Source organism: Homo sapiens, chromosome 12 (genome assembly GCF_000001405.40).
Source record: "Homo sapiens chromosome 12, GRCh38.p14 Primary Assembly".
In the NCBI taxonomy this organism is placed as follows: domain Eukaryota; kingdom Metazoa; phylum Chordata; class Mammalia; order Primates; family Hominidae; genus Homo; species Homo sapiens.
In genome coordinates, this window is record NC_000012.12 from 106,186,762 (window position 1) to 106,194,530 (window position 7,769).

At 44.8% G+C, this 7,769-nt stretch overlaps 1 annotated feature.

The window, feature by feature from the left end:
- Positions 1,217-2,051: an enhancer, noted in NCBI's record as "H3K4me1 hESC enhancer chr12:106581756-106582590 (GRCh37/hg19 assembly coordinates)". NCBI's record gives its function as "activates a minimal SCP1, AML or CMV promoter by ChIP-STARR-seq in naive H9 embryonic stem cells {active_cell/tissue: H9 hESC(naive)}" and the evidence as "EXISTENCE:reporter gene assay evidence [ECO:0000049][PMID:30033119]".

The window sequence follows — 7,769 nt, forward strand, 5'->3', positions numbered from 1 at the left end:
ATTTTTTGCATTAAGTAAATAAGATTATGTATGTTAAGTAACCAGCATATAGTAAGCACTCAATAAATACTGGCTTTGTCCCCGTGACACCATGTGTGATACACATATCATTGCTGTAGCTCGGGATACCTTACTAGTTATCATTCAAAGTGCCACAAAAGATTACAAGTACTTTAAGACTTAGGGAAAAGAAAGGGGGAAATATTTCTCAAAACATAAATAGAAAAGCAACGTTTTCTCTTTTAAAATATCAGAATTGGGAATCGTAAGAAACATAACTGGAAATGGAGTTGAATATGAATCCAGAACCTAAAGGCAGTGAGTTCTGCAAAAAGAAATCTGTGTCCCTTTGCTTAACTAAGCTTTTTCTAAGCTTATTTGACCACAGAAGCTTTTGTCAAGTAGTACCCATTAATTTCCAAGGAATTCGCATGACTTTAAAACACTTTTGGAACTGTTGCTAATTATTTTAAGAATATTTGTAGCTATCACTGGTCAAGACGACCCTGTGCTTTAGGTATTTCAACAACCTCATCTGTGCTCACACATACACTGGAGCCATTGTTGTCCATATGAGGAAACAGTCTCTAAGGAGTAGCTCAACCTCACACAGGCAGGACAGCAGCAGGTCTATAGCCGAGTTTACCAATTCTGAAGTCTGCAGCATTTCCCCCCATACCATCTCCCTCTCAATTGTGTCTAATTTCCACCCCCTTCTTCTGAAGCTAAGCTGTAGCTACTCTGTCTTTAAGTTCTATTGAATCAAGCACTTTTACCAAAATGTTGTGATTACACTGATGTAGAGAGTGTGCCTTGGTCAGCAAATAAGCACCATGAATCTCTCAACATCGTCCAGACTTCCTCTCCCTCCGGACCTTTCTTTCCCAGACCATCCCATAGACATGCTTCCGGAAACACTTAATTGGAGTCTCTAGGAGCAATCACAGTGGAGGTGGAATTCTGGTTGTCTTAGTGTAATCAAGTCCTGATTTTTTCTTCAGTGTGTGACCAGAGTAGGAGTCAGAAACTGGGTTCTTACCCAGCTCCATCTCAGTCACGGGTATGTCCTTGAGCAAATCCTCAAAACTCCTGCTCCCTAAAATTCTGATGTACCAGCTAGAAAGGGGTATACCAGATAGCTAACTTTTGGGCTTCCCAGCAAGCACATAAATGATGACATAATCTGGATTTGCAATTTCATAGGGATTTAGGTTCTGAAGTCTAACTGCTTGGGTTGAAATCCTGGCTCTACCACTCACTGTGTGACCGTAGGCAAGTTACTTAACCTCTCTGTTCTTTACTTCACTTATCTCTCAAATGGGGTTAAATCACAGAATTTAATTTGAAGAGTACAGTGATTAAAACAGTGGCTGGCACATTCTAAGTGCTTGATAAATGTTATTATTATTAACCTTAGCTTGTGGCTCAGTGCTGCCTAAGAGGTTAGAAATCCCCAAATGTCCTGGTTCCTGAGCAGAGATGACCCCTCACCCACAGAGCTCATTCTCTCCCGGCTTCTCTTGCCCCTCCTCCACACTCCTCTCCACTCCCCACACCCTCCCTTCTCAGCCTCAGAGTCCCTCAAAGAAGAGTCCCCAAGGAGTGTAAATGGAAGCCGCCCTGCCTGAGGGGAGAGAGGCCGACCTCACACAGCTGGACCAGGCTCACAGTGACCAACTGAGGCATGCAAGGTCGGGCCAGCAGTGGGGTCACCTGAGAAATTGGCCGGGTCACCAGCCCATTCATGGCCACCTGGCGTCCTGCCCATCTCTGACCCTCAGGGCCCCCAGGGCTATTGTGAGGACGAAGTCCTCCTGCTCCGCTGGGCGTAGCCCTTTGGACACCACAGAGGCCCTGGTTGCCCAGAGCTGCCCCTAGAAGGGGCTCACACACGTCGGCGGGGGGCCTCATTCCTGCATCTGGACTCAGAGAAGAGCCAGAGGGGGGAGGGGGAACCGAGAGGGGGGTGGGCAACCGCTGGGATTTCTGCCACCAGTTGGACTCTTTACGATGAAGGGCAAGCACTGAGGAAAGAAACTGCCCAGCTCAAACACAGCTCCCTCACAGTGCCAACCTGCGTGGGTGCCAGCCACCAAGCCCCTCCACACCTCAGCTTGCTGAGAGAATGGGATGAAACAATGTGTGGAAAACTTAGAAAACAAGAGAAACTCACAATAAATCTCAGCTATTATTACCAAAAAAATTCCCTTATTCCTCACCACAATGCTCTGAGGTAGAAAATGTTCTATTTCCTGATGAGGAAACTGAGGCTCACAGAGCTCCTACATTTGGGGGTCTGGGTTCAAACGCAGCTCTGACCCCCAAGTCTGTGCCTTCACCACAGCACCCTCTGCCCTGGGGTTCCAGGCGGCCACTCTCCAGCACATTCTCCTCTGGTAGAGACAAAAGCTACAGGGTTTGTCCATTCAGCCAGTATCCGGGCTGTGCCAGGCACTGTCTCAGGGGTCCGGGGTGTAGTGGGGGGCAACAGATGCCGTGTCTACACTGAGAAGCTTACAGGAGTGAGGAAGCGTCATTCCTACGTGAAGGGAATGCTCTAAAGCTGTGCCATCCAATATGGAAGCCACTTGCCACAGGGGGCTTATGAACTGACTTTGAATTAATTGAAATTAAACAAATGAATAATCCAAGTCTTCCATCACACCAACCAAGTGCCCAGCAACCCATGTGGCTGGTGGCTGCATACTGGACAGCGCAAACAGAGAGCATTTCCATCATGGCCGACGCTTCCACTAGAGGGTGTTGCTCAAGAGGAAAGGAATCAAAACTAGGAGCCCTGGGGACTCAGACACTTAGAGGCTCCCCTGAGGAAATGGCATTGGAGCCAGAACTGAAGGATAGGGAAATCAAGTAGAGGAAGGTTGGGGAAGGGCAGGAAAGCCCTGTAGGCAGGAGAAACAGTACCCATAAAGGCCAGCGGTAGCAGGGCTCCCCTGCAACTGGAATGAAGAGAGAGAGAGAGTGGAGTGCTTCAGTGCCCAGGCTCCCCAGGGCTGGCTGCCTGGGTTTGAATCCCAGCCCTGGCTCTTCCAAGCTGAGGGCCCTTGGATAAGTTACGTGACTTCTCTGTACCTCACTGTCTCCCCCTGTCAAATGAGGATAATGATAGTACCTCCCTCCCAGGCTTGCTCTGATGATTGAAATAGCCCAGCACATGTTTAGCACTGGACGTGTGTTTGTTGTTACAATTGCTGGCCCAAGATGAGGTCGAAGAAGTAGGCAGAAGTCAGATTGTGCAGGCTTTGTGGGCCGTGGAAAGAATCTGGTCTTTATCCTAAAAGCAAAAAGAAGCCTGAAAAGTTTTAAGCATAGAGGCCAGAGGGTGGCTGGTGGAGAACCACAGCCCACCTGAAGGCTGCAGTGGCCGTGCAACACGAGCCAGGCGCTGGGGTGTACGATAGTGGACCCAGCATCGCCAGGCCTTCCAAGAGGCTGGAAATTCATATATATATTTTTTTTTACATAAAAATCTCCTAACATTTTAAAGTAGGCCTCTTATTCCCAAATTTTTAAGTACCTTACGGAAAAAACCAGGCATCTGCTAGGACATCTGGTTTACCCCACAATCTGCAGCTCCTCAAACCTCAATAAACCAAAGTCCATAATTAAAGTCATATTGCCAGATGAGCCAGGTGGCTCCAAAAAGAAACCAATGGACCGCCTGGAACAAAAATGGCACATCAAAAAAGCTGCCAAATTAAATCTGAACCAAATTGCTACATAATTGGGCTGGAGGATCCCAGTGCCTGAGTAGAAGGGCCCATGGATAAAAGCATAAACAAGCTGCACAGCCTTTTTCTTTTTTAAGTTTGTGGTGATAAAAAGAAAATATATGAAAACCTGTATTCTCTTCACTCTGAGGTTGTGAAATGAATTTTTTCTCCATCTCTTCACAGAGTCTGGGTCAATCCTTTCACCTGAAAAAAATATAGGCAGCAGGTGTTCATTTGGGGAGTCTATGGTCCGTGTCATTTCCTGGTTCCAGATTATAAAACAAAACCACTTCATTAGGACATAGTATTGAGTGACAGAGCAGGAGAGGGCATAAGAGGAAAGACTGATTCGACGAAATGAAATGCTTGAATGAGAAAGCCTTATGCCTGAGCAAGAATCAAGTATTTTAGGTTTTCATTCTTCAGATCTTCACTTTCATTAACCATTGCTTTTTCATAAAGGTTTTTCTTCCCAAAATATTGAGTATTTAACATGGGCCTGGAGCTCTAGGAGAACTGGTAGTATTTATTAGTTCTCCTCTGGTTGACGGAATATGCATCCTTTCACCTAAAAAATACAGGCAGCAGGTGTTCATTTGGGGGTCTATGGTCCACGCCACATGCATCCAGTCAGAGAACTAGTGAATACATCGGTGATTGCTGTTACGCCAGATTAAGGGAGAGACCCCGCTAAGCAATTGTTCTAGGTGATAAAACATTTGTAACAAAGACAATGAGGAAAAATCATGACAGGTTTTTGCATGTTATTCTCCCTCCCCAGTCCAGTCCTCTAATCAGGAAGGAAAAGTGGGCACTGGGTTTCTAAGGGAAGATTTTTTTGAATACTGAGAGAGTGCTTCAGAAGAAAGAAGCTTCTAACTCTTTCTCTAATACTGGACCTCCAAGGATTAAGCTTAGGAAAGTGCCATTTAGAAAGACTGGATTGCTTCTAAGGAGGGTGGGGTATTTTATTGGGTGAAGTATGTCGGTTTGGGCTAGCACTGAACTGAGCTGAGAGTGGAGCTGAGGCTCAGGGTTGCCAGGAGATTTAAACTCCTTTCCATTCTCCTCCAATCACCCCAACACTTCCTGCAGGTGGATGATGGAGAGGTAGGTTATCCACTGGCTTAGGGTGCCTGTTTGCCTCAGTCCAGCTTTGAGAGAATGGAGCGTAGAGTTACGATACAGAGACATACGCAGAATGCTCCCAGGTCCTAGATCAAGGATGTCTATCTGAGTCATACTAGAGCAGAGTTATTAACCTACAGCCTGTAGATAGAATTTAGGGGCTCCTTGAACATAGAAGAGAAAAAGATTGTCTTAATGTTTGCTAACCTTTAAGTGAAATGAAACACACTCTTCTATTATGAATGTAGGCAACAAACCTCAGTGGTATTAACAGTACCTGTGACTTTGCCATAAACTGTAATCACAGATATTGTCATATCGTATTTCATTGGTGGCAGAAACCTTGAAATAACATTGAAGTGCATTATTACATGAAAACCATGGCAGTTATTAGACCTGCTGCTGGATATTGTTATATAATGCATTAATAATGAAGCATATGTATTACTATACCACTAATTCAATTTTGTTACAATATAGTTCAAGACATAAAAAGATTAAAGGCCTATGAACTAGGGGATCCAAGCACAGTCTTTTGAATGACTGTTTGCTTGAGTTTAAAGGGCATGAAATAAACCAGGCAAAGGAAAGGGGTAAGAGGATGGCATTTCAGGCTAGGGAATAGCATTTGTAAAAGCACAGGCTTTGCAGACACTGTAATTGTTGTGGCTGCTGAGAGCCTCTTAAGCTGAAGGGAGTTGAGGGGCTTGGGAGTGTGGGTGGAAGCCCATTCAGCCTGGGCCTCGCCATCACAGAGGGCCCCAGATTCAGACCGGACCCTAATCATCAAATGAGATGATATAAACACTGAACTTTTAATGTGTGTGCTAAAAAGTGTTAGTTAACCAAAACATTTATGCCACAATTTTCCTAACCCTATGTTGGCATGCCCTCATTGTTCCTCAGGGAACCACTAGCCCAGGCATCTTTTGACTTCTAAGGGAGTAAACTTGGCCAAGAGGGAAAGATTTACTGGAGGTGGGGAAAGACTTGAGTCAGCAAAGTAAACAAGAGTCAGGATTCCATCTTGAAAATTGTGTGTGTGTGTTTTAAGTTTGTACCCAAATGATATAATCAGTGTAGGGCTCATTTGCTGATTTCCCTACCCAAACTGCTCATTTCCACTCCCTTTCTTCTGGCAATAGTAGTGCAGATTTCTTTTGGAGAACTACCTTTCTACAACAATTAGAGGTAGGAAGGAGGGACATGTGACGTAGAGCCGGCCAATCAGAGCACAGAATTCCTGAAGCCACAGTGATTGGCTTAGAAGTAAATCCATCAGAATAATTCTATTCTCTGACTATAGGGAGTGCTTCCAGGATAGATATTCACTCAAGCTGGTTCAACCAGAGTAAATCTTGGGATTTGTGTGGGCACTATTGATGAAAAGATGGTTTTTTTAGGCTGGATTGTACCTAGGAGGGCTTAAGCCTAGAGAAAGTAGCTATCTTGCTACCATATAAAGGCTGAGAATGAAATCAAACATAGCAGAGTCAAGAGATGAAGAAAGATGGGGTCCTGATGCTACTGCACCTCCAGATACAGCTAGGCCAGATCACCGCTGGACTGGGGCCAATCACATCTGGTTTTAGAAAGAGCATGCCATCTGCTGGGAGAGGAATGATCAGGGATATCCTGCAGTAGAAGCAGGAAGACCCAGAACTTCAAATCTGGAGACTGTACAAGTCCATTTTCCTTAGGTAAGGCTGCAGTAATGAACAGTCCCAAGCTTCCAATGGCTTACAACAACAAAGGCTTATTTTTCGCTCACATTGCATGTTGGCTGCAGGTTGGGTCTGGCTCTGCGACTCCACTCCGGATGTCTATTGCATTCCAGGATCCAGGCTGGAGAGCAGCTCCTATCTTAGTCTCATGGCAGAAAGTAACGGAACAGTATCGGAACCACACAATGGCTCTTAAAGCTTCTGCTGAATGGTGGCTCTGTCACATCTGCCCACAGTCCACTGACGAAAGCAAGTCCATGGCCAAACCCAACATCAATGGGAAGCACTGAAAGTTATGTGGCCATGGGCAGTAATGCACAATCCTCTTACGAGAAGGGTAGTGGCTAACTGGAAACAATAATATGATCCACTGCCAAGGCTTTAGAAGTTATTTGCTTCAAGCATCTCATTTGACAGATGGGAAAACTGAGGCCAGGATGAGTTAAGTAAATTGCTCACAATCACATGGGGTTGCCAGTGGCAGAGCAAAGGCAAGGACCTAGGTCTCCTGCCTCCCAGTCCAGGGTTCTTCCCTGCACCCCAGGCTGCTCCCCTACAGTTTCACTTTGGCAAGTAAGGAAAGATTGTTCACGGTTGTCCTCTGTTTGTCCTCTTCAGTTCACTCGAGCAATATGTTTCCTAGCACAGAGAGCTGGCTGATGGTCAGGGCAAAAGCGAAAGTTCTCCAGAATCATTATTTGAGCTTGTTTCTCTTCAGGCACCAGTCTTAAGAGAAATTTGGTTCCGGGTGATTGAACAGAGCCTTGGAAGCAAGCATAAGAAATTACAATACTGCAATTTTTTAGATTTATTGATTTGGATTTGGAATTGGGAATTTGGGGCTCTTTTCTTTCATTCTGATTTGTCTTGTTATGTTTCTACCAGCTTTTAAGCCCACAGAGAAGAAAAAGTAATGGCTATTGAATATCTATAAGGAATGAGACACTGAGAGTTTTGATACATATGTCATCTTTATTATACACATTTTCCTGGGTAAGTGGACATTTGTAAAAAATATTTCTCAAGTTACGTGTTTCTCTCCACCCTCTACCCCTTTTGATAAAATATTTTATATAACATATTTCAAACACTAAGTGTGTAAACTGATTATAAATGCTAAGAATTTTGGAGCGGTCACTGTCTAAACAACCCATTTACCTTGGTGCAAGCAGAACTGATGGGG